At 39.6% G+C, this 27,503-nt stretch overlaps 1 protein-coding gene across 6 annotated transcripts in view, besides 1 other annotated feature; it reads right to left on the reverse strand.

The window, feature by feature from the left end:
* Nucleotides 1-27,503, reverse strand: part of PRKN (parkin RBR E3 ubiquitin protein ligase) — a 1,380,350-nt gene that overhangs the window by 737,874 nt on the left and 614,973 nt on the right. The window lies entirely within an intron of this gene.
* Nucleotides 13,902-15,101: an enhancer, noted in NCBI's record as "P300/CBP strongly-dependent group 1 enhancer chr6:162520224-162521423 (GRCh37/hg19 assembly coordinates)". NCBI's record gives its function as "activates an origin of replication core promoter dependent on BRD2, BRD4, P300/CBP, MED14 and CDK7 cofactors, with strong dependence on P300/CBP, by STARR-seq in HCT116 cells {active_cell/tissue: HCT116}" and the evidence as "EXISTENCE:reporter gene assay evidence [ECO:0000049][PMID:35650434]".

Below are 27,503 nucleotides of genomic sequence, written 5' to 3' on the forward strand. Positions count from 1 at the left end.
AAAGTATGATTATATTATGGATTGTCTAACTTCACAAGTATTATCAACTTACTAATTTATATTAATGAATAGCTTTCAATCTAGATATGATTTCAAATAAGCAATACATATTTGACTATTCAGTTATTGAAATGATTTTCATGCATCTACTGTGTGTTAAACTTTGTATTAAATGTTAGAAATCAAACACGAGTGAGATTCAGGACTATATTCTATTATTCTATAATTTAATGGAGGACATAAAGAGCAGATATTTGACAAAGAAATGCATAACATACTAAGGGAGTTCATTTAATGGCAAGACCAATTATAATTTTGTTTCCAACTTGGTATGAACTATGCTTACCAACTGTGAGAGAGGGGAGTTAAGATACTATTCATGTATTCTCAAATTAGTCAATTCCAAGAATTTGTTGAGTGTTACTCTTTTCAAATCAGGTGGGTGGTTGGCTCAATCAGCGCTGGCAGGTTACATTCCCATCTTACTGTTCTCACCACCACCCACTGCAGTGAAAAACACTTTTATGACAGAAATTTACCTGTTTTAAAAGTACTTTTGTTCTCAGAACTGAGAGATTTTATTGTTAAATAAAAGTGACAGGGGAAGCAACATAAAGTATCAAAGATGGTTCTGATCAAGTCATGTAACAGTGCCTATGAGAAAGATTTGCCATTCTACTCTATCCATCCTATTAGTCCCCCTAATATTTCCTTCTTAAGGCTTTGAAATCTCCCCATAGAACTCCTTATGTTACTTCGAGAATTTTAATAGTCATACGGCAAATAAGCAGAGAGCAGCTCACAATTAATGTACTAATGCCCTTTTCTTTTAATAAAAATTATACTCTTTCATTATCCTATTAACAAATGATTCTTTAGGGAGCATTTCTTTAATGTTCACAGTGCTGGCACCCTAGTTGGCACTCAACTATCTTAAATTTTTAATGAATTCAGAATTAGTCTGGGCATCTCTCAAAACTTAGAGTCTCTGAGTGCATGAGTGGACTCTTTATGTTATCAGATTTATTGTTTTGAAAGCAAAGAAGACTAGGAATATAAGCAAAAGAGGAAACAAGCAGGTAGTTTGAGAGTGTAGAAAACTCCATGGCACACAAGCACATTGTAAGGTAACACCTTTTTCACCAATGGAGAGAAAAGAGAGGAAGAGATGGAGGAGCAAAACGACTCGCTGTTACCATACTAGCAGTGTCAGCACTACAAAATACAACATTTAAAAATGTGTTAAGATGTTTTTCTGTATTTATCAACAGATAAACCCACAGCCAGCCCAAATCAGGTACTGGAGATTAAAACTAAATCCCTGGACAAAGATTAGCATCTCAAGGAGAGGCTGTACAACATTAGAGAAAAATGTGGTTGAGCAGGTTGAAAAGGACACCTTCACAGACACATCTGGGAGAATGCTAGCAGCTCTTCAAATACTTCTCCTTAGTAGCATTTATCTCCATCTTAACTACATCACTGATGCATTAATTATAGGACATTTTTCTCTCTGGTTAGAATGTAAGTTCCTTGAGAGAACAGACCTTTTTTGTCTGAATTCCAGTGACTAGTCTACTGCCATGCAGGCTCACAGTTCGTATTTGTGGAATGAAATTGCTGAAGAATTAATTATACATGAAGGAAATTCAAGCGTAAATTGAGCCATTAATACAAATATGAAAATACAAGGAAATATGAACTTTAGAAAGCAAATAATATGCCACAGAGGTTCCCAATTGCATACTTCACTGGACTCACTTCATTTAGGGACCTCATTTTCTAAGGTCCCCCAGCTGTCCAGTGCTCAGGTCATCACTGACATGGGCTCAGAAAATACAGATACATCCCCAAGGCAGAGCCAGTGTTTGTTTTATTTTTGTTTTAATGTAAGCACCACTTACCTTTTTCACCTATGGGTAGACTCTCTCATTCCATGATATTAGAAAATGTTTCAAATGAAAATGCCCCTGGTTGTAATATAATGACTAAAATTACATTAAGATATCAATATAAAGAGTATCAAAAACTTTCCTAAAAATCAGTTTTAATAAAAGAGTTGAGAACATGAGAATGCCCTTAAGGAAAGGGTAGTAGAAAGAAAAATCAAATATACATTTGAAGTTCATCAAAATAGATTTGGAGTTGGCACAGATTAGAATTTTATTATTTTTTTAAAAATTGGGCCAGAAACGAGCACCTACTTTACGCTAGGCACTGTGCTTCCCTATGAAAGGAAGCATGGTTTCTGCTTCAAGTGGGTGAGTGGAGGGCCTACAGGTGCTTAGAGAATAATTTCTTTTTTTTTTTTTTTTTTTTTCTGAGACGGAGTCTCGCTCCGTCACCAGGCTGGAGTGCAGTGGCGCGATCTCGGCTCACTGCAAGCTCCGCTTCCCAGGTTCAAGCAATTCTCCTGCCTCAGCCTCCTGAGTAGCTGGGATTACAGGCACACGCCACCACGCCCAGCTAATTTTTCTATTTTTAGTAGAGACGGGGTTTCACCATGTTGGTCAGGCTGGTCTCGATCTCGTGACCTCGTGATCCACCCGCCTCAGCCTCCCAAAGTGCTGGGATTACAGGCATGAGTCACTGCGCCCGGCCAATAATTTCTAAACAATAGTAATGCAAATAGAGTATGCACAGCGTGGACATTCCAGCTTCCTAAACGCAGGAGCACTAACGCTCCTCTGGCTTGAGAGAGAGTCATCAGAATGCAAAGATAGAAAGAGATAGACAAATTAGGGGATGCAAGGGATGCAATCCAGTACAGGCTCCAATTTCTAACCCTGTCCCACATCAATGAGGACCTTTAGAGAGGGCACAATATTATCCACAGTCTCATAATTCAACAGGGAATTGGGCAAAGAAACAAAAATAGTGACTATGGACTAAATTGATTCTGAACCCATATTATGATTCAGTAAGATAAATGTCCCTGAAAGTTTCTGAAGATTCTTAGGGCACCCTGATGACCAAAGGGGTGAGAGCTAGGGTCATCACGTGACCTCATTATCCTTATTATCTCTCAGCAGTTACCGAGTTAATGGGGAGCTAGAAAAAATTGTTTTTCTCAATCACTGGAAAACAGTAAATGAATAACAGATAGCTAGTTTTAAAATTTACTGGATATTTTGTCAATTTTCTAAGCTACTTGTTATATCTTTCTAATCCTTAAGATAATTGCATTTATTAGAAAAAATTAAATTGGCTTAGTAAAATTTTAGTCAAAATTTTGTGTATTTGTTTAGGAAATGAACAAAGAGATTACAATCTGGATCCTGATAGTTCACTGGTAAAAGATAAGATTATACCAACAAATAGATAACTTACACGAAACGGGTAAATTCCAAGAAAGACACAACCTACCAGAACTCACTGAAGACGACATATCAAATCTGAATAGACCCATAACAAGTAAAGACATTGCGTTACTAATTTTAAAACTGCCAAGAAGAAAAGTCCAGGTCCAGGGGATACCTTGGTAAGTTCAACCAAATATTTGATTCGTTTTCAACAGGGTAACAAGATGATTCAATGGGGAAAAATAATCCCCTCAATAAACGGCATATGCAAAAGAATGAAGCTGAGTTCCTACATCACATTACATATAAAAATTAAGTCAAAATGGATAAGAGGCCTAATGCAAGGGATACAACTATAACAGTCTCAGAAGAAAATTTAGGAGTAAACCTTTGTGACCTTGGGTTTGGAAAAGGTACTTAGATCTGGCACCAAAAACATGAGCGAACAAAGACAACATATACACACTGAACTACAACTTTTGTTCTTCAAAGAACATCATCACTACAGTAAAATGACAACCCACCAAAAGGAAGGAAATAAATGCAAATCACATATGTCATAAAAAACCTCTGTCCAGAATATATAAAGAACATTTACAACTTAACAAGGAGAAGACAAATAACCCAATTAAAAAATGGGCAAAGAATCTGAATAGACATTTTTCCAAGGAAGTTATACAAATGGCCCAATAAACTCTTGAAAAGAAGATCAGCATCATTAGTCGTTAGGGAAATATAAATCAAAATTATGAGATGTCCCTTCACACCTACAAATATTGCTAAAATTTAAAACAAACAAGAAAAGAATAACGGGTGCTGTCAAGAACATAGGTAAATTGTAAATCTCATTCATTATTGGCAGAAAGGGAAATTGGTACAGCCACTTTTAAAGAGTGGCATACCTTAAAATAGTGTTACCATATCTCCAGCAACTTCCCTTCTAGGTATATATCCAAAAGAAAAGAAAATGTATGTCCATATAAAAACTCGTACATGATCAGTAACAGCAGCATTTTTCTAATAGCAAGGAAGTAGAAACAACCCAGATGCCCATCAATTGATGAATACATAAACAAAATGCAGTATATTCATACAATGGAATATTATTTGGCAATAAAAAGGAATGAGGTACCACAAGTCGCAAATATGGATGAACTTTTAAACGTCATAAGCGAAAGCAGGCAGTCACAGAAGACCACGTATTACATGTTTCCATTTAAATAAATCTCCCAATTAGGCAAATTCATAGAGACAAAGTCAATTTGTGGTAGCCAGGTACTCGGGGAAGAGGGAAGTGAGCAGGGGCATGGGGTGTGACTGCTACTGTGTACAGGCTTTCCTTTTGGGAATTATGGCAGTGTTCTAAAATTTGATGGTGTTGATGATTACACAACTCTATGAATACACTACTAAACTGTACACGTAAAGATGGTCAATTTAATGTTAGGAAAATTAAGTCAATCAACTGTTATTTTTTTGAAAGGCAGATAAGGTGGTATCTTAGATTCCATAAGCCAGCCTAAAAGTGCTGAGGAACCACGCAGTATTTGTGTGTGTGTGTGTGTCTGTGTACAGGTGTGTGTGTGTGTATCAGATCATTATAAGGAAGGATGTATGTCTAGAGAAGTCGTGTTAGGCTTCACATACTTTTAATACATTGTTACCCTAATGTTATAAAAACTTATAGTGGATTTATATTTTAGACACAAGTAACATATAGTTGGCCAGTTGAAGTTTATTTCTGGAAAACTTCTGTTTACATTTTATTTTAAAATAGTTATCCCTCAATCAGCATGCCCTACATTTTCCTAGTGGCAGAAAGTAGTGACCAGAATAAAAAAGCAATTAAATTAGGCAATAACATTACTGAAGAGGTCACTGGTTCTGCTTACATTTCACTTGTTTTGCCTATATATATTATCCATTGAACTAAATACAGAGAAGCCACATTTTCTCTTAATATTCTCTTATGGTCTAGTGATTTTCTTTCTTTTTTACATATGGAAAATTACAAAAGCTCTAGCTACACAACGACATCAAATATACAAGTGTCTAATTGCAATACACCGGGATATTTTGACTAAAGAGCCGTGATAACTTTGCAATGATGTAGGACGATGTTTCAGACAAAATATGAAGCCAAAAAAGGCAGAATATAATCTGAACTGACATTTCCTATCTAGAATGACAGAAATGTAAATGTGTTTTTCTCTAGTGCTGAAGGTTTGGAAAATGCTAGACCCTAAGATTTACCATGGAATTTGATGATTCATAGTGAACATGAAGAGACAGACGCCACAGTCTGAGTTCTATTTGGTAATTCGTGGCCACAAAAGTGCACCCCTCATTGCTTTCCAGCTATTTACACTTGCCAGTATAATACAAGATTCTTAATTAGCAACCATGTGGCTTCACTTTAAATAGCCTTGCTAGCTCCCTTGGGACCTCTTGAAATATCATTCATATTAGTAGAAATACCATCCCATTTTGTTACAGATTTATTTATTTCTCTTGCTATCCTTTTTTTTTTTTTCTGTTAAGGCATATTACTGTTACATGATTATAAGCATTTTTTAAAGTTATGGGCAGGGCCATGATCTAACTATACTTTGTAGTTACATGACATCTAAAAATGTGCTATCTGATTAAAGGATGCATTTTAGTAATAAAGATGATAGCTATTTACATCCGATAACTGCCTACAAAAAGACAGAAATGAGCTGAAAAATGGAAGAAGATGGAATAAATACAGTTTACTAATAGAGCTTATACTTCTCCCATTTGGTTTAAAGAGGCTTTTAAACACTTAAGCTGAGATTTACTATGAAAATCAGACTTACAAACATCACCATCAACACAGAATTATTAAAATGTAGAAAGTGTGGATATGTCTAGGATTGCGATCCCATTATGCAGGGACCTACGACCTACTAGAAATGCTTTGCAATTCTTACTGAACTATTTTTTCATGTAAATGAACATCACAAGGACAGGTGAACTCTCTGCAGGCACCGATCGTCTGGTTTTCTAAAAGTATACAGGGCAGACAGGGTATTCACCTTGATTGGAAACAGAGAATCCAGGTATATTTGAATCTTCTGCCTCCACCATATTGTGTAGCACTATGTTTTGTTTAATTTTATCAGTAGAAAGAAAAAGGCCAGACAAATGCCGTGACTCAATCCTGTAATCCCAGCATGTTGGGAGGCTGAGGTGGGCGGACCACTTGGGCCCAGGAATTCAAAACTAGCTTGGGCAACAAAGTGAGAGCCGATTCTACAAAAATTACAAATATTAGCCGGGCATGGTGGCACATGCCTGTAGTTCAAGCTAGTTGGGAGGCTGAGGTGGGAGGATCCATTGAGCCCAGGAGGTCAAGGCTGTAGTAAGCTGTGATTGGGCCACTGCACTCCAGCCTGGGCAACAGAAAGAGATTCTGTCTCAAAGAAAAGAAAAAGGTCATACAAGTTTACCACTAATAGGCCAGGTGCAGTGGCTCACTCCTGTAATCCAGCACTTTGGGAGGCAGAGGCGGGCAGATCACCTGAGGTCAGGAGTTTGAGACCAGATTGCCAACATGGCGAAACCCCGGCTCTACTAAAAATACCAAAAATTAGCCTGGCATGTTGGCGAGCGCCTATAGTCCCAGCTACTCGGGAGGCTGAGGCAGGAGAATCACTGAACCTGGGAGGCGGAAGTTGCAGTGAGCTGATATTGCGTCATTGCGCTCCAGCGTGGGTGACAGAGTGAGTCTAATGAAAAAATAAAAAATAAAAAAATGAAAAAAAAGTTTACCACTAACAGTTGAAGCAATAAATTTTGTTTTGACGAAGTAACATTTATAGTCGGTGATTATTATAAAAAATTTTGTTTTAAATCATTCACAATTGAGTTCCCATCCTATTGTAAGTCTACTGCTAATCTATTAATTGCATGCATTATTATGTTGGTCTTATGATACTACCTAGTAAATAAATATACATATGTGGGTCATACTCCATAAGTCTGAAATACACAGTTTAAGGGGCTAATAAGGTATATGTAACTAAGAAATACACTAGTATCATCATTATCTGCTGTTTTATGTTTTAATAACTTCTATTTCTGATATTTCAAAGTGATATAAACGAGCAAGTTCTATACAAAGCTACCTCATAGATTCTAAAATCACTGGCCTTTCAAACATGTTTATGGGTTCTTTTTAAAAAATAAACATTCGGATGCTGACGAAGTAGAAAATTAGTCTTCTGGAGACATATTATGATGGAGCCTTAAGATGGATGAAAAGTATAAACTGCATCATCCAGGGCTGGATTTCCTGTGCACACTGCAGAAACGTCCTTGATGTTACTGATGTCTGCCTCACGCTTAGCTCTCAGAGCCGAAGCTCCATCAGGACAGATTGGAACTGCCACCCAGAGGCATTTCACAATTTGAACCAAAAGGTTTTCAGGCTTGCGTTCTAGCTAATTCTGTCGCTTCTAATTCCAGCCAGACTTAAACTCTTATCTTTGGATGCCAGGCCTACAGATAGGGCTATCACAGTAGCCCCAATTCCCAGAAAATACGCAACTCCATGACCCAGGTGAGATTAAATCCTTCCAGATAGCCTAAATAAATGGTCTATAACTTGTTCCTGTCACTCCCACTAATGCCTTTGTACTGTGAAACAGACTAGGAAAGGTGTAAATATCTTCAAATTATTAGCTGCACTTCCTCTTCCTTGCCTCTACCAGGAACTCTAGCATCACGCTCCTCATGGGGCAAAGGAAACCCAGAGGCGGCAGTTCCTGCACTTTCTTCTCCTGTAGTTATTAACCAATTTGCAGATCTCCGTGTATTACTGGTAATAGAGGCACACTCATATCTTTTCTCTTTAACACCTTGCCAGTAAAATTCTCCCGCACTAACCTGTCTGCCCCTCTCTCTCTAAGAAAGATACAGACCCAATTATACAATTTAGCCCATTACTTTGGTTCAAACAGATTTCACCTCAAAACAGATGTACTTGAATGTAAAAGGACCTTCTTGTCAGTGCGTGGGGTAGCTGTGCTCTCCTGTACCCCCTAAACATTTATGTGAAGTAGTCACATCTGAAGAACACACACATATATAATGGGAAGTATCTCTTAAGCAGCACCGCAGGCATTTGCTTTAAACCCCCCGTAACTCATAACGGCTTGACTGTGCATCCATGCTTCTCAGCAGCTAGGGGTTCCCTGAAAGCAGGGACAAAGCCGTGGTCTTCCTTGTTTCCTCTGCACCTCACCTCGTGCTGAGCACATGCAGACTCAGAATAGATGTTCACTGAATAAAAGAAAGGATGGACACATGAATACATTAAATGAACCTCAAACGTTATCTACTATGCTCTGTGCAGAATCAGTCAGAAGACAAGGTGTCTCGGGAATGCAAAACGGGACAAAGAAAACCCAGCTCAAGCAAGATAAGCACTGGGCAGTGGTTCCATTTGTCTGAGCGAGGCAGCACGTCGAGATGAGACGAAAACACAGACACTGACTGAGTAGGTAGAGCAAGGGGTGGAAATCAAGAACCAACAAGCAGCCCAGTGCCCATCTGTGAGCTGGGGCTGCAGGAAGAAAAGTTGGAAAGGTGGCTGGGTGTGGTGGTTCATGCCTATAAGTCCAACACGTTGGGAGCCTGAGGTGGGAGGACTGCATGAGCCCAGGAGTTCAAGACAAGCCTGGGCAACAAAGCGAGAGCCCATCTCTACTAAAAAAGTGAGCCGGGTGTGGTGGCACGCATCTGTGGTCTCAGCGACATGGGAGGCTGAGGCAGGAGGATTGCTTGGGCCCAGGAGGTTGGGGCTGCAGGCAGCTGTGTTTGTGCCACTGCACTCCAGCCTGGGTGACAGAGGAAGACCCTGTCTTAGGAAATAAACAAATAAAGTAATTAATTAATTAATTAATTTAATTTAATTTGGAAAGGCAAGGCTATGTTGGGAGGGCCCTGACATAGTGAGAGGAAGTATCATTATTTGAAGGACTTTGAATGTTTCTCATGTGACTGGAAAGACTATTCATATTCTTACCACAGCAAGATCTGAATTTGTGAATTGTCAAGCTCTCTCGGTAACATTGTTTCATTTTCCATTATTAGTTTTAAGTCACTTTAAAACAAATTGTGGTAAAATTCAACTCCTGTCCCACGACTTAGTTTGCCCACATTTAAAACTATTCCTGAAATAAACTATGTAAATTTAGGAGGGAAATTTTAATCTGTTAAATGTATTTAGACATTTCCTATTCAGAGAAACATTATGAAGCCTTCTATTTTGTGTATAGTCTAGATTTTTAACTATGAATATGTGTGTGTATTCATGCAAATAGTATTGATGGAGATGTATAGATAGATAGATGATAGGTAGATAGATGCCAGATGGGTACATGGACAGTCACACAGATGGAGAGATGGTAGGTGGACAGACTGACACTATGAAGAAAAACAAAGAAGGCTGAAGATGGCTGGGGTGAAGCCATCTTTCTACTGGGTCTTCAGGGGAAGGCTTTTCGACAAGGTGGCTTTAGAATTACTACAAGTGAATTCTATCCATACAGGAATTTTGACTTTTCTGGAGTTAGAGATGATCAAATATATTTTGAAAGAAATAAGGTCCTGGTCACAAATATGCCACTACAGAGATAGGTTAGTCCTCACGAGGCCTACACCTCCCCGACTCTAAAAATGAACAAGATGAGCAGATTGTGGAACTCTGGGTTTCATTCTTATTGCCCTTTGAGGGGAAGGTGCTTAGAGGTAAATGTTGGCTTGGAGCTGACTAGAATGAACTGGTTAGCTTTGAATTTGGTATGCAGCACACCATATATGTTGAGAGGTTATTTAAATGTTTTTATAGTTTACATGGAGAGATTAATTATTTTATTTTTATGTAAAAATTGCTGAGATTTCAGCAGTTACGATCGCTGACCTATTAATTTAAGTAATAATGTAATGAATTTTATATTTTTACATCTGCAGAATAACTCACAATCCTGTGCAATGTTTCTGATACCTGCCTAAATATCTGTATTTACTCATTTTGCATTTCTTTTCAAAGGCTCTCATGATTTCAGGAGGTATACTGATGCAAACTTAATATCCAGAAAGAATTCTGGTGCAGGAATGGTTTGGTATCAAGAACGTGGGCTCCAGAGGTGGACAGGTGTGTGTCTCCAGGCTACCTTGTATCCTGCATAGCTTTGAGATCTTGGACAATTTATTTCTCTCAGAGGGCCACAGTTTCCTCATCTGTAAAATAAGGACAGCGATACTAAGTTCAGAGTGTCATCGAGAGGATAAAGTTAAAGAAGATCCTGGACACACACCCACAGTGCCTAACAGCATTCCATCTGCAGAAGAGGTCTTGGTTATTTGATGGGATTGAGTGCACAGAGTGAAAAATGTGTCCATACAGGGAACGTACTTACTCCTTTGGAGCACTTATTTCATATGTGGATCAGACAAGTTAGCAAGATGGTAGGTATGCTGCCAACTATAACGACAGAGATATCTACACATGTGTAGATTGTAAGATTGGTGCTTCTGGAGCATTAATAACAGATCAGAACCCGAGGATTTGTTTTACCACAGATTAGGATGCACCCCAAACACCTTCTAGAATGTCCAGGCTGCTTCTCACTCTGTTCCCTAAACTCTAAGAATTAGCTATAAATTAGCTATTAATCCTCCATTCACATCCAATTTTGTGTAGTTTTAAAAGTACAAGCATATAAAAATAGATAAGCCAACCTGTTCCATTAGCCCTTTAATCAATATTTTAGAGAAGATGAAAATTTGACTCACATTGTATGTTTCACTTACAAAGCACTCCTATTTCAAGGACTAACCGTACTATAGCTGGTGATATGGTTTGGCTGTGCCTCTACCCAAATCTCATCCTGAATTGTAGCTCCCATAATTCCCACATGTTGTGGGAGGCACCTGGCAGAAGATAACTGAATCATGGGGGTGGTTTATCCCACACTGTTCCCCTGGTAGTGAATAAGTCTCACACGATCTGATGGTTGTATAAGGGGTTTCCCCTTTCGCTTGGTTCTCATTCTCTTTTGCCTGCCGCCATGTAAGATGTGCCTTTGCCTTTCACCTTCTGCCATGATTGGGAGGCCTCCCAGCCATGCAGAACTATGAGTCCATTTAACCTCTTTTTTTTTTATAAATTGCCCAGTCTTGGGTATGTCTTTATCAGAGTGTGAGAATGGACTCATACAGCTGGAATTTTTTTTTTTTTTTTTTTTTTTTTTTTTTTGAGATGGAGTCTCGTTTTGCTCTGTCACCCAGGCTGGAGTGCACTGGCAGGATCTTGGCTCAGTGCAACCTCTGCCTCCCGGGTTCAAGCCATTCTCCTGCCTCAGCCTCCCTCAGCCTCCTGAGTAGCTGGGATTACAGGCACATGCCACCAGGCCCAGCTAATTATTTGTGTTTTTAGTAGAGACAGAGTTTCACCATGTTGGTCAGGCTGGTCTTGAACTCCTGACCTCGTGATCTGCCCGCCTTGGCCTCCCACAGTGCTGGGACTACAGGCGTGAGCCACTGTACCTGGCCAAAAATTATTATTTAACATGAAAAGAGCACGTATAGTATGATTTTTTTTAGGAAAAAAGTTAAAACTGTCTGTCAAAATATAGCTAATGTGTACCATTTAGATAAATGCAATTTAAGAGAATATTATGCTGGAACACATATTATGTGTCTTGTGTTCAAGCACATCACATACATCATCCACATGAGCTGTCCCAAAGTCTGTAAGAGCAGAGTCACACACTCATTTGACAAATGGATGACCGAAGGCTTAGAAAGTTGAGGTAATTTTCCCAAATACATACACAGCAAGTGGTGGAGACAGGATTCAAATGTGAGTCAATGCAACTTGGAGAATTTCCGTAATGGTGGTTAAGGAAATAAATTTTGCCTGCTGAATAGTTGTAATGTTCATTCCTTCACCTCTAGGCTAACCATTTCACTTCTCTGCCTAAAATCTCCAGTGGTTCCACCTTGCATGGTTGTTTCCACGTGTGATTGACTAGGCATACTTACTAGTAAAAAATGTGAGCACACAGCCCCCAAAGCATCTTGTTTATTCACAAATTTTATATGCATTACTCTACTAAGAGATTAAGTACACCATAAAATACACACTGCTTAGAATTTAAGAACAGATCCAAATGAGAGAATTACAATGTTGACACGTGGTTATTTGTTTTTCACTATTGAGTAGGAAACCAACGAAAAGCTTCCAATGGTACTCTAATGCTGGTGAAATTTTTTAATTACCGATGACTTCACCAAAGTTTGTCTTCAAGTTTTAGGTGATTTCTTGGTAAGAGCGTTGACCATGGTCTCAGCCTCACACTGTTAGCAGTCAGCATCACATTGCACAACACTCCCTGAGGACAAGGCTCATGGTTAATAGTGGTGGATATGAATTCTTATTTCAAATAGTGCTTAACTCTTGTCAGATCTGATAAAACCATCTTTTTCTTTTCTTTTTTTGCTTGTTAATGTGGCTGGTGAAGTGCCTTAGTATAGTCTTCAATACTATTTCATTTTGTAAGAGTTGCTTTAGTTTAAACGAGGATCATGTCAACTGCAAAACACTATTATGTGCTACAGGAGACAAATCAATGCTGGCACACAGGAATGTCCGCTTTTCCCAAATGTTACCTGTGACCATCAGAAATATTCAGGCAACTGGGAGTGGGCATACCATGAGCAAAGTGAGGGGTTTTTCCTATTTGCTTTGATTAAAAATTAATATAAATGAAAGTCCTAGTATTTTATTCCTGCACACTGATGGTATGTTTCGCATCCGTTGGGATGCATCAACTGATTTTGGAGCCCAGGAAAAGTCTAAGCTATTTGGACACTAAGCTGCTACTTAGGACTCCCAGAAACCCCATGCCTATGCTCGCAGCTACATCTCTCAATATCTTCATCAACATTTATTTGTAGTTTACTGTGCTTACGTACAACCTTTCAGGTCATGGCTGCACTCAAGCTGAGTTCCCTACCTAGAAAATCCTTCCTTCCTATATTTTACTCTTAATCTAAAATTTCTACATTATTCCTACTTATCCTGTAAAAGTCAGATTCGGAGTGATTGGAAGACATTTCTTCCATGTACTTGTGAGAATTAAGGGTTAACTTGTCCAGTACTCATTCCTCAGTACGTTGGCTTGAAAAGGACTTAGCCTTGCAGGCTCAGGAAAGAGAATGGTGTTTCCCTATCAGGAACTCTAAAGCAGCAAGTGAAGAGGGGTGGATGGATGTGGAATGAGATGTGGACTTGTCACTCTGCCACCAGGACGAATATACAAAATCTGGAGTCCGTTACACTTGACATTTTCACACACAGAAGCCATGCATTTTTCAAGGTACTATAGCTTTTAATAAAAGCTCTTTGTGCTTTGAAGAGGGTGTTGGATAACAGTACATATACATACTTGTTTTAAAAAAAGAAGAAAATTAATTGAGGCCAGCATACATTTTTCCATGCCATTTCCAACTTTAACACCGTTGAAATTCCTTTAAATTCAGCTTGAGGTTCCCATGGAATCACCTCTGGCCACGGGCCGTCAGGTACAATCTTGGGATTAAGAGCTCTCTGTGAAGACCTGGTGACCTTGACCATTCAGGGCATTTCAGATTATTCTAAGGCATATTTTTAAAAGTAGGGTTTTTTCCTACATGACTAGTTTTGTTAAACTTGTAATTTCTTTTTAACATAAATTTCATACTGAAACAAGTTAAACTGTTTTTTACTGAAAGTCAGCTTTTGACAGAAGCGTACCCCTCCCTGGAGAAACAGTTCTTCAGAACCTATGAATATGTAACACCAATGACTTCTAGCACTTTTAATTTTACAAATTCCCTTCTAACGGCTTTAATTGTAATTCCTGGCATAAAAGAGGCAACAGGATAATACTTTGTTGAAATGTTTAATTGAAGTATAATACATGTATGTCTTTTATGAAACAACCTCAAACTTAGCATTGCAAGCACAGTACAAATAACTATTTTTAAATCAACAAAAATGATATCTATTTATTGTATATAATGTTGTTTTGAAATATGTATGTGTTGTGGAACAGCTAAATTGAGACAATATGTGCATTACCTCATATACTTATTTTTTGTGGTGACAACACCGAATATCTAGTCATTAGTGATTTTCAAGAATGTAATACATTGTTATTAACTACAGTCACCATATTGTGCAATACTGTGCAATACATCACTTTTTCCTCCTGACTCACTGAAAGTTTGCTTCCTGTGACCAACACCTCCCCGCCCACACACAGCCCCAACTTCCAGCCCCTGGCAACCAGCATTTTACCCTCTACTTCTCAGATTTCAGTGTTTTTAGATTCCACGTATACGTGAAACCGTGCAATATTTGTTTTTCTGTGCCTGGCTCATTTTATGTAACATCATGTCCTTCAGGTTCATCCATGTTGTCACAGATGACAGGGTATTGTTCTTTTAAAAGGTCCTATGGTATCTTATTGTGTTTATAAATATAACACATTTTCTTTATTCATTCATCAGTCAATGGACACTTAGGTAGGTCCCTACCTGGGCTATTGTGAATAGTGCGGCAAAGGACATGGGAGTGCAGACATCCCTTGACATGCTGGTTTGTTTCCTTTGGATACGTACCCAGAAGTGAGACCACTGGGTCATATGACAGTTCTATTTTTAACTTTTGAGCTGTTTTCCATAATGGCTGTACCAATTTACATTCCCACCAACAGTGTACAAGGCTTTCCTTTTCTCCACGTCCTTGCCAGCGCTTATCACTTATTATCTCTTGTCTTTCTTGTCTTTTTTTTTTTTTTAAGATAGATGTCGCTTTGTCACCCAGGCTGGAGTGCAATCTCATCTCACTGCAACCTCTCCCTCCTGAGTTCAAGCGATTCTCCTGCCTGAGCCTCCTGAGTAGCTGGCATTACAGGCACCCACCACCACACCTAGATAACTTTTGTATTTTTAGTACAGAGAGGGTTTTGCCATTTTGGCCAGGCTGCTCTCAAACTCCTGACCTCAGATGATCTGTCCCCTTCAGCCTCCCAAAGTGCTGGGATTACAGGCATGAGCCACCGTGCCCGGCCATCTCTTGTCTTTTTGATAACAGCCATCCTAACAGGTATGAGGTAATATCTCATTGTGGTTTTAATGATAATTTTTTCCCTGATAATTTATGATGTGGAGTATTTTTTCATATACCTGTTGGCCATTTGTATGACTTCTTTTGAGAAAAGTTTATTCTGTTTCTTTACCCCATTTTTAAATTGGGTTACTTATTTTCTAACTATTGAGTTTTTGAGTTCCTTATCTATTTTGAATATTAACCTCTTATCAAATGTATGGTTGGCAAATATTTTCTGCCATTTCATAGGTTGTCTCTTCACTCTGCTGATTGTTGCGTGGCTGATACAGAAGTTCTTTAGTTTGATGCATTCCCACCTATTTTCCCTTTTGTTGCTTGTGCTTTTGGAGTCATATCCAAAAAATAACTGGCCATATCAATACCACGCAGCTTTTCCTCTGTGTTTTCTTCTGTGAGCTTTACAGATTCAGTTCTTACATTTACAGCTTTAATCCACTTTGGGTTGATTTTTGTATATGAGGTCAGATAAGGGTCTCATTTCCTTCTTCTGCTTGTGGATATCCAGTTGTTCCAACACCACTTATGGAAGAGACAGTACTTTCCCCGTTATGTATTCTTGGCGTCTTTGTCAAAAACCAATTGACTGGGCCAGGCGCGGTGGCTCACGCCTGTAATCCCAGCACTTTGGGAGGCCGAGTCGGGCGGAACACGAGGTCAGGAGATCGAGACCATCCTGGCTAACGTGGAGAAACCCTGTCTCTACTAAAAAAAAAATACAAAAATTAGCCGGGCGTGGTGGCGGGCGCCTGCAGTCCCAGCTACTTGGGAGGCTGAGGCAGGAGAATGGCGTAAACCCGGGAGGTGGAGCTTGCAGTGAGCCGAGATCGTGCCACTGCACTCCAGCCTAGGCAACAGAGCGAGACTCCGTCTCTAAAAAAAAAAACCAATTGACTGTATATGTGTGGATTTATATCTGAGATCTAGAGATACTATAACTCTCTATATCTCTAGAGATACTCTAACTATGTGGTATATATTTTAAGGCAGGTAGTGTGATGCCTCCAGCTTTATTTACATAACTACTTTTGGGAGTAAGTTGCTGCCATGATGCTCCATCATCCCTGAAAACTTTACTGTGTATTTCCTAAAAACAAGACATTCTTCTACACAATTGGTCCATTCACCAAAATCAGGAACTCACATTGATACACTATTAGCATTTAATCCACAGGCCTGATGTAAGTTGTCTCAATTATGTTCTTTCTTACCATGTTTTTCATTTTTCTAATTTTCTCTTTTTTAATTTTAAGTTCCAGGGTCCATGTACAGGACGTGCAGGTTTGTTACATAGGTAAACGTGTGCCACGGTGGTTTGCTGCCCCATCAACCCATCCCCTAGGTATTAAACCCAGCTTGCATTTGTTATTATTCCCAATACTCTCCGTCCCCCCACCCATCCCCCAGTAGGCCCCAGTGTGTGTTGTTCCCCTCCCTGTGTCCCTGTGTTCTCACTGTTCAGCTCCCACTTATAAGTGAGAAGGTGCGGTGTCTGGTTTTCTGTTCCTGCATTAGTTATGCACCAGCTAAGACTATGCCTTGCATTTAGGTGCCATGTCTCTTTTGGTCCTGGCTACATTTGCATATAGGAAAACAATAACAATTAATGGCAATCATCAATACTTTCCTCTATCTAGTTAGGTTAATCTAGACATGGTGTATAAAAACAATTACATTATTAATCTTAAAAGATAAGTAAAGCGCTCATGAAAACGGGGAAACTGATACATAAATATTTTCTTCGACTGCTCATGCTGCATTCTGGAGACGACCTTCACTATTTTTTGCACAAATATTTGAAAAACATACGCAGGTATTTTATCTAAAAGATCCATGCCTTCTTAAAGCATGAAAGTTGGAAAAGTGGTTGTGGGTCCACCAAACTACAAAGCCCAATTTCTAGAAGAAATAGAGGGCATGGCACACTGCTGATGAAGAACACACAGGGCAGAAATACATAACTTGCCCGGGCGCGGTGGCTCACGCCTGTAATCCCAGCACTTTGGGAGGCCGAGGCAGGCGGATCACGAGGTCAGGAGATCGAGACCATCCTGGCTAACACGGTGAAACCCCGTCTCTACTGAAAATACAAAAAATTAGCCAGGCGTGGTGGCGGGCACCTGTAATCCCAGCTACTTGGGAGGCTGAGGCAGGAGAATGGCGTGAACCCGGGAGGCAGAGCTTGCAGTGAGCAGAGATCGCGCCACTGCACTCCAGCCTGGGCGAAAGAGCGAGACTCTGTCTCAAAAAAAAAAAAAAAAAGAAAAAAAGAAATACATAACTTGAATGAAAATGTGTATTAGCTAAAATAAAATGGTTTTAAAAAAAACAGGATCAGAGGGTTTTATAAGTGAGTTCCACTAAACTCTCAAGTAACATTCCAATTCCTTCATGTTTAAAAAAAAGAAAAAGAAAAAAAGCTGTTCAGTTTTGTTTAAATTAATTTCTAAATAAAACAGGAGCAATAAAAGAAAATGAGGATGAAATTCCATTTCACTTGTAAGTATACATATGAAACAGAATCCAAATAATATCCCATCATCAAGATTTATCTCAAGAATGTGAGGATGGTTTATCATCTGAAAAATCCCCATCAATGTAATTTAAAATAGGAAGAAACTGAAAGGTAAAGCACTTATTATCTCTTATAATACGGACGCAATGACTTAATAATAGTCCATAACTTTACTATTAAAGCAAACAGAAAAGAACAACAGAGTAAACCAGGAATGGAACAGAAGTCTCTAACTTGATAAGGGCAATATATCAAACATTGCAAAAATATTTAAATTTCTGGGAGAACTCTTAGCTACATTTTAACTTCTGAAAAAAAAAAAATAGAGGATGATATCAGCAAACAAAACAAACTCCAGAGATGAGAAATTGAAACTAGCACTCAGAGGAACGCCAGGGCAGTGGGCCTTCTGAGCCCAGAAAGGCCCGGATTCACAATGAAGGGACCTAGCCTCAGACGGCAGATGAGAGTGGCAGTGTTTAGCACTGTCCCTTAGGAGATGCTCAGTAAAATGCCTCTGCCAGCTGCCTCCTCTTCCTCACCTGTATGTAGCTGTGAAATCCTGGGCACTGTTCTCGAAAGAGCATAAGATGCTCCGAGAGGGTCGGCCTTATACGATTTAAGCTGGGCCAAGAGGGCAAGTGGAGTCTCAGGGGATGGCAGCCTGTGCTGTGGAGGTGAGGGCCACAGAGCAAAGCCCCTCCATGAAGGGCTCAAAGCAAAGGAGAGGCCTTCTGCAGTGCGGCCATTAAGATCATGGTCTGGGAAGCCAGGCTGCCTGGGTTTCAATCTCAGCTCTACCACTTACTGCATGACTCAGTTTGTTTGTCTTGTGCCCTGCACTCCTCATCTCCATGAAGAGCTAATGGCAGCACCTACTTCAAGGTTGGTTGGAAGGGGTGAATGAGTTAATCCAGGTAAAACATGAGAACAGTCTCTGTTCTTCCTCAAGGGAAGCCTCCTGACGCCTGAACACACACATTCCACTGGTGTATTTCCAGCACAAGATTCTGGTGTGCATATGCCTCCAAAATGCAATAGGGAATCTATGTAACCTTCCAATACTAATTAACATATTGTTTGGCCACACATATTAATAAACAAGCAGGAATCATCTGATTTTGGAGGTAAGTAAATAACATGAAAAAGAAATGCCAAGATGCACAAAGACAACAACTAATCATATTAATAGGACTGTTTAATGGAAGGTACATGAAAGAAGAAGAAATCAAAGAACCGGTGCTTCTCAGACTCTGACGTGCAAGTGGATTACCAGGAGATTTGTTATTAATAAATAAATAAGAATGAAATGCAGCCTGCATCAGCAGGCCAGGCGTGGACTCTGGGATTCAGCATTTCTCAACAAGCCCACCGTGTAACACCAATTGTTGCTGGTCCACGTTCCACACTTTTAGGGGTGGGGATCAAAAAGATAAAGTCAAGAAATGTTTCAGGAGTAGGAGGAAAACGACAAAAATATACAAAGAAAGAGATATTTTTAAAGTAAATGCAAAATTAAGAAGTAAAATAATTCTAATAGGCATCCTTAAAGAAGATGGCAGAAATCAGAGAGGGGAGAATATAATTTTAAAAATAAGGATATTTTCCTGGGCAATAAGGATAAAAGGACTAGTTCTCCATGCTGGCTACATGCTCTGATTTTGGGTGGCATCAAAGAATACCAATTGTTTGGCCATAATCTATGGAGGCATAGCTTACGTATCTGTGGTTTTTAAAATCATAGTGAAGTGAGAAGCACTCATCACGCATTAGAGTAAAACAGCCCAAAGGGTATGCAGCGAAAAGAAGACAGAACCCACCTTGACATATTTTATGGCTCTAAACGGGGATAGAAAATCTGAGAGGTTTTACAAGAAATATAACACCTGAAACCTACATATGAAACAAATGCCCGAATTGAATTCACCTTCTCAATAGTAGTGCCAAGTTTTAGAAGAGCAGTGCCTTCAAATTGGGAGAGAAATGCTATAAACACAGCCAAACCACATCAAAATAAAGAATGGAACTAACAAATAATGCCTTCAAGGAGAAAGGAGATTATATGACAACAAATTCTACAAATATAAATAAAATATTCATTTTTTAAAGATGGAGTCTCACTCTTATTACCCAGCCTAGAGTGCAATGGCGCGATTTCGGCTCACTGCAACCTCCACTTCCTGGGTTCGAGCAATTCTCCTGCCTCAGCCTCCGAAGTAGCTGGGACTACAGGCGTGTGCCACCACCTGGCTAATTTTTGTATTTTTAGTAGAGATGGGGTTTCACCACCTTGGCCAGGCGGGTCTCAAACTCCTGACCTCACGTGATCCACCTGCCTTGGTCTCCCAAAGTGCTGGGATTACAGGCATGAGCCACTGCACCCGGCCCAGATATTCTTAACTATAACATAAAGGCATATGTTTCTTCCACCAATAAGAAAAATAAAAATCAATTTCTCTGAGAACAATAGAGCAGTAAAAGAAAGGCATAAATCTGAACCAAATATGAAACAAACTAAAATATGATAAGATTTTTAGTAACTGATATCTCCTATAAACTCTGAGGTTTGGAACATTATTAATGATTAGTACAGGCTGAGAAACATTCAAATATCATTTCTTTCTCATGGATCCAATCGTCATACATACTTGCCCGGCCACATAATACAATCTTATAAACCTTGTCAATGTAACTGTATTACTACATCTGACAGAATTTAGGAGGAGACAAAAAAGTGGTGAAAAATGTGGATAGAAAATGATTGGTTGATAAGTTCCATCAAAGTTTGTTGAATACATCAGAGTTAAAGTATGTCGTTCAAAGTAACAATGCACTTGATGATTACAGCTCCCGTAAGTACGGGAAGAGGATGGATAGATTAACAATGGGAACAGGCTGGGAGAAGAGATGTGGGGCAAAGAATGCCAAATTATTAGGTTTTCAAGGTGGGGGGTGAATGTGCATATTTTAATGTTGATAAATCAATAGCTCCGCGATGATGATAATCCCCAAAAGAACTAAGTGGAGAAACACGTACAAGTGGCTAACTCTGGGGAACAGAACTGAGGACATGAGAGAGTGAATTCCTTTTTTTTTTTTTTCATTTTATGAAGAAAGCAGGAAAGCATGTATTACATCCATAATTAAAGATATTTTAAATGGTAATACAACCAAGCAGTTGAAATAACCTAAACATTTCAACTTCATTAATATCTATTTTTAAAAGCATTTTGAATCATCTGTTTCTCTTAGATACTTCTTCATTTTACTTAGGAGGAGAGCAGCATTCTATCGTCATTTCTTCTGGGACTTTGCACAAATCAGAAGATTTGCACAAGGCAATACTGTGGCAGCACAGAACAACTTTAACAAGTTCACGGAAAGGAAAACCATTCACATTCGAAATAGAGCTCCATGCCTCTAACCAATACCTTCCCCTGGCATATGTCTGACCTTGTCCTGGGGACTGAACTAGAGTCATTTCCTGTGTTACTCAGGACACAAGTGTCACGATGTTGTATGCACTCCAGTCTTGACTGACTAGCCCAGAAGGGCAAAAAGGCAATGTGAGGGGCTTAGTCTTGCTGCCCAGCCCTCACTGTTCACTTTCCAGAATTCTTATGGTAGGAAAATTTCTCAGTTCAAAAGCTTCAGGTTACCTGTGCATTTGCTCTTTCAATACACATGAGGAGCTCGGTGTCACTCAACCTATCCGTATTCCCCATGCTCCAAGAGTCTCACTCAGAGGTGAGCGTAGGGTTAGAAGAAAAAAATGGGAACAGTTATCATTTAAACAGTTTCTCACAACCCCCATCAGGTACAACTCTTGAGTGAGTACCAAGATTCCTTGCTTAAAAATAAAAGGTTGAAGGCCGGGCTCAATGGTTCAGGCCTATAATCCCAGCACTTTGGGAGGCCAAAGGGGGCGCATCACTTGAGGTCAGGAGTTCGAGACCAGCCTGGCCAACATGGCGAAACCCTGTCTCTACTAAAAATACAAAAATTAGCCGGGCATGGCGGCAGGCGCCTGTAATCCCAGCTACTCAGGAGGCTGAGGCAGGAGTATCGCATGAACGCAGGAGGTGGAGGTTGCAGTGAGCCGAGATCGCACCTCTGTACTCCAGCCTGGGCGACAGAGCGAGACTCTGTCTCAAAATAAATAAATGAATAAAAAGTTGTACCAAGTAGTGGCTAATTTATAAAGCAAATAACTAATCTTTTAAATGAGAGAGAACAGAAGAGTTTCTCATTTTGGAGATTAAAGCATGGCCCAGTCAGCAACTTTATAACACTGACCAGGAGAGGTACATGCCTTTGTTAACCCTGGCTGTTGTTACTGTTATATCACTAGGGTGTCTCCTCAACAACACTGTTCCTTTTTCTCTTTTCCTGTTGCTGTGAACTAGGCATCAGGCATAGTTGTGTATGAAGTTATCAGGAAAATCACAAAGATGTGTCTACCAGGGCAGGCAAACCCCAGATCCTAAGGTTTCTGTCCAGCTTTTCCATAAACTTTTCCTATTTCTTACTCCCAAGTTTGTCAAAAAACACCAGTCTTTGACTTTTTCTCTAAATGAAAACCCCATAGAATCTAAGTTCCAAGCCCAAAATTTATTTGCAAAAGAAAGGAGGAAGGAATGAAGGAAGAAGGAAGGAAATACATATTATGTCTATTTAATATACACTATGCACTTCTTTAATATATTACTTATTACATATGGATGCATTTTTATCTGTTCATTCAAGAAAGGATATGTCAAATGCCTTTGCTTGGGAACACCTACGTTCAGTTTGCTCCAAACATGTACCTGGTTTTCAAACGTCCCACACTCCTGCTTCACAGGGAAAGATTTGCCATTATGCTTAGTGGTGGGAATCTATGCAAATGGTTCCACATGCCAATGCCAAGCCAAAAGAGAAAGACAAGCCTTTGTTCCAGAAGACACAGCCCTTTACAGCCCTTTGAATCCATTCCTCTGGGAGCTTCCCCATGGGAGGACTGCTTCTTTCTGTGACCCAGCCTCACTAAATGCACTAGGAATCAGCGCACTTCACTAAATATTACATCTAGATCATGTGTGTATTTACTATAATTATGCATATTTCATCTGAACTAATTTTCAGAAACCCTTTCCTTAGCAAATCGCACATTTTACGAAATGTCAGTGTTTCCTACCAACCACCATGAAAACAACAACAAAAGCTGAAACATAGCAGGAACTCAAATCGCAGAGTATTTCAAATAGATAATTAGACTGAATTCTAAAGTTCTCTAACTACCATATATGTAATATTAAAAAGGTCATTAAATTGTTGGTGTGACAGGGTTAGTTAAACATAGGCCTAGCAGCCAGTAAAGATGCTGAGTGCAGTGACAAAGAACGGTGAACGGAGGACCTGTTTGTGAAGGATGAGGATTTTCCTGCATTCACCGTTGAGAAGTCAGTCTTCATAGGATGGTGCTGAGTAGGACTAGATAGATTTAATCACCATCACAGGAACAAACTCACTAATTATAGTAGCAGTGACACAGGACAGGTGAGACCCACAACTGGGGCTTAGCTGAGGAGGGTTCTTGACTTTGCCCAGGAAGGAACTGAGGGGTAAGTCAGTGGTGTTAAAAAGCAATGTTTACTGAAGTGGCGGTGTACAGCAGCAGCAGCGCTGCCCCGTAGGCAGTGTGCCAGGGCAGCAGCTCAGAGGCAGCATTGCATCCATATTTATACCCACTTTTAATTTCATGGGGTGGATTATGAAGAAATTTCTAGAAAAGGGTCACCAAGTTGTTGTCGTGAAAAGGGGCAGTAACTCCCAAGTGTTGCCATGGCAATGGGAAACTGACACAGCACCCTGGTGGGTGTGTCATATGGAAAGCTGCTTCCAGCCCAGCCCTATTTTAGCTAGTCCTCAATTTGGTCCAGTGCCTGAGCCCCACCTCCAGAGTTGACTTCCACCTTCTACATCAGTAAGACAAAGAAAGTCGCAAAGTTGGAAGAATATACAGAGAGAGATAAAAGCTGTATTCAGGAAGTAGATCCTTTATAAAATCCACTAGAAAATACAACTGACTTAGTAATAGCCAATGACAAAACACTGCATGTGCAGAAATTCAGGACTTTATACAAGTAATAATGAGTGAGGACGCAAGGCAGCCCTGGCCAGGACGATGAGGGGCAGAGATGATACAGGGACCAGCTATGGCTCTTCGGACCCTGACCAAGGAAGGAAAGCTACAGATGAGTAAACAGAGTTGACTCCATGAGCTCAGCAGAAATAGGGTGTTTGTTTATGTGTTTGCAGTTTTCACCAGTTCTTAGTGAGAAGTTAGGAGTTACAGTGTGCACTCCTCTGCTATTTATAGTCTGATATATTAATACAGGAGCTGTCTTGGCCAAGCTCTTCCTCTCTACAGATGCTGTCCCTTAAACACTTTCCAACATCCAATGAGCACTTATACAAAGATTGCTTTTTATTTCATTTACCGCCTTCTCAGCTGTTTATGAGTCAAACTGTTTCCTGGTACTGTTGCTGTAGGTGTATATTGGACATTACTCAGGATCTGAAGCATATACAATATCCCCAAGCTTAAATTAGTCATTGTTTCACTTGTCAAATTCAATTAACATCATATGCCAATTGCATACCATGAATCATTTAGTAAACACTGTCTAGAAATATTAACATAAATCCTGTGTTTTACTTAACACTATGTTGAATTCTGTTCATAAGTTTGTTGTTTGCAACAGTTTAAGTTTTAGTCAATTTCAAAATTCTTTTGAATGTACTATGTGTGTGTACTATGGGATAAAAGAAATAAATTAATATATTGATGTTTACGGTAATGTGGGTTCTCACTATGGGAAAAGGTAGATATGAATACTGAAAGGGGAAAGGCAATAGATAATTCTATGGTATTCCTGAAGTTATATGAATGAACTCATTAATGCACACAGACACACATACACATATTCTACCATATAGTAAAATGGTCTAGAAGCAAAAACATTGGTAGCAACGTTTATGTCTAAATGTAACAGCCAGATCCTAGGGTTTGGTAAATAGAAGATGAACCTGGAACTTCTGTGCCAAAAAGCAAGGACTCAAAGACCAATGTGGACATATCAAAACTATGTAGGAGCTGATTTAAAGGGGTTCATTTTTCTCAAACTGTTCTTTAAAGAAGAATGCTAAATGGCAAATGTAAACAAACAATATAATTATAAATCTTTCTGGTTTTTTGGAAACCACAAATGCAATTATTTATTTGGGCAGAAATAGAAATGAATCCTTAAAAAGACCGTTGAAGAATAGCATCTTGACATGGTCTGAAAGCAGTATCCCACATCTTGTCTACTAATTGCATAAGAAAAAGGCAACCTTGAAACAGGGGCGATGTCCTTTTGAGTATGAAACTCACAAGGGAGAGACTTTATCAGATCAGATGCTAGTGGGGATCACAAACGCCACCAGATGAGCTGGCGTTCTGTGTTGCTGATGGGATGTAATGTAAAGTACACACCCTCTAGGAAACGGTCTTGCCACACATGCTTCACCTGAACATACCATGAGGAAAACGGCAGGACAAATCCAGATTCTGAGACATCCCAAAAAAGGACTGGCCTGACGTCTTTAAGTATGTCAGAGTTGAGACAGACAAAAAGTGGCAGGAAGTTGTGGCTGACATGACCAGACCGCCAAATGCAACGTGTGGGCTTCACCTCAACCGGGAGAAGAAAAACAGATGTCCACAGAAGACGTTCGGAGATGGATGGGAAGATGTGCACAAGGGCTGCCCATGAAATAATATCACTGAGTCAACGTACAGGCATGGTGATGGAACAGGATGACTTTGCATTTAAGAGATGCACGCTGGCTGGACACAGTAGATCACGCCTTTAATCCCAGCACTTTGGGAGGCCAAGGTGGGCAGATCACGAGGTCAGGAGATCGAGACCATCCCGGCTAACACAGTGAAACCCCGTCTCTACTAAAAATACAAAAAATTACCCGAGTGTTGTGGCATGCATCTGTAGTCCCAGCTACTCGGGAGGCTGAGGCAGGAGAATGGTGTGAACCTGGGAGGCAGAGCTTGCAGTGAGCCGAGACTGCACCACTGTGCTCCAGCCTGGGCAACAGAGTGAGACTCTGTCTAAAAAAAAAGAGATGCACACTACAACTTTCAAACAAATCCACCAACACACACGCACACACGGACGTGCACACTCACATACATACACACATGTATCATGTTTTGTGTGAGTGCGGGGTGTGTGTAGCATGGGTATTTGTGTGTGAGAAGGAAGGCAAGTGGGTCAAAAGATAAAGAAATGGTGCATAGAGTAAATCACTGCGGTACTGTACTAGTCTTTCAAGTTTTCTACAGTCTCACAATTAAAAAAAAAAAGGTGGAGAAAAATTTTCCTGGAGAGAGAAACTAAACAACCAGAAGTTTCTGATGATTGAATTAAATCGTTTTTCAGTATGCCAAGCCTCTGAGCAGCTGGATTTTCCACACTTTAGTTTGTTGCCCTGGGGCCTCCCAGTCTTGCTTCCATAACTCAACAGAATTCTACCACCAATTGTTGAATCCAAAGTTTCGTTCCAAAGTCTCTGAAAGCAGAAACTGTGTTCCAGATACAGAGAATCAAAATGCGCTACTGAAGTCATCCAGAATATCAGTAGCCAAGACATGATCAGAGAGACCTATGAATCTAAGCCAGTTTTCTGATTTTTAAGCCAAATTGTTTATCTCCATTCAACACTCTCAATACTTGTATCTACAAACATATTGGACTAATGCAGAGAGCACATTTCCACACTGGAACAGTTGAATAGGGATGTGAAAACTCGAATATCTTTGCAACCTTCAAACAACACTTGACATTAAAAATCCATTTACAAATCCAGCTTTATGCTAAATATTGTGGTAACATTCTTAAAGACCAGACCTCTTCATGTGGAAAATGATGTCCCAGTCTAAAGTTTTTTGAAAGGATTTGCTATGAAACTGATAATAATTTTATAGGTATTCATGTCTATACAATTACTAGGACTTTTTTTACACAGAATACCTAAGTTTCTCCTACCTTATTGAAGATTCTTATTAAAATACCACATATTAAAAAAGATAAAGTAACACAAAAAGTCACAAAAGAATTGAAGTTTACTTTTTTGCTTTATTTGGCCCAACACAGTGTCTTCTAGAAGTCCTTGTCATCACAAAAATATAAAGCTTCCTTTGGATATGCACTCCCCAACCTGAATTGTAAGCACTTTGAAGACAGTAATTAGGTCTTCCATCACACTTTAGATAATGTCCTAGGCCGGGCGCAGTGGCTCATGTGTATAATCCCAGCACTTTGGGAGTCTAAGACAGGAGGATCACTTGAGCTAAGACAGGAGGATCACTTGAGCCCCGGAGTTCAAGATCAGCTTCAGAAACATAGTGAGACCCCCATCTTTACAAAATTAAAAAAAAAAA

Source organism: Homo sapiens, chromosome 6 (genome assembly GCF_000001405.40).
Source record: "Homo sapiens chromosome 6, GRCh38.p14 Primary Assembly".
In the NCBI taxonomy this organism is placed as follows: Eukaryota; Metazoa; Chordata; class Mammalia; order Primates; family Hominidae; genus Homo; species Homo sapiens.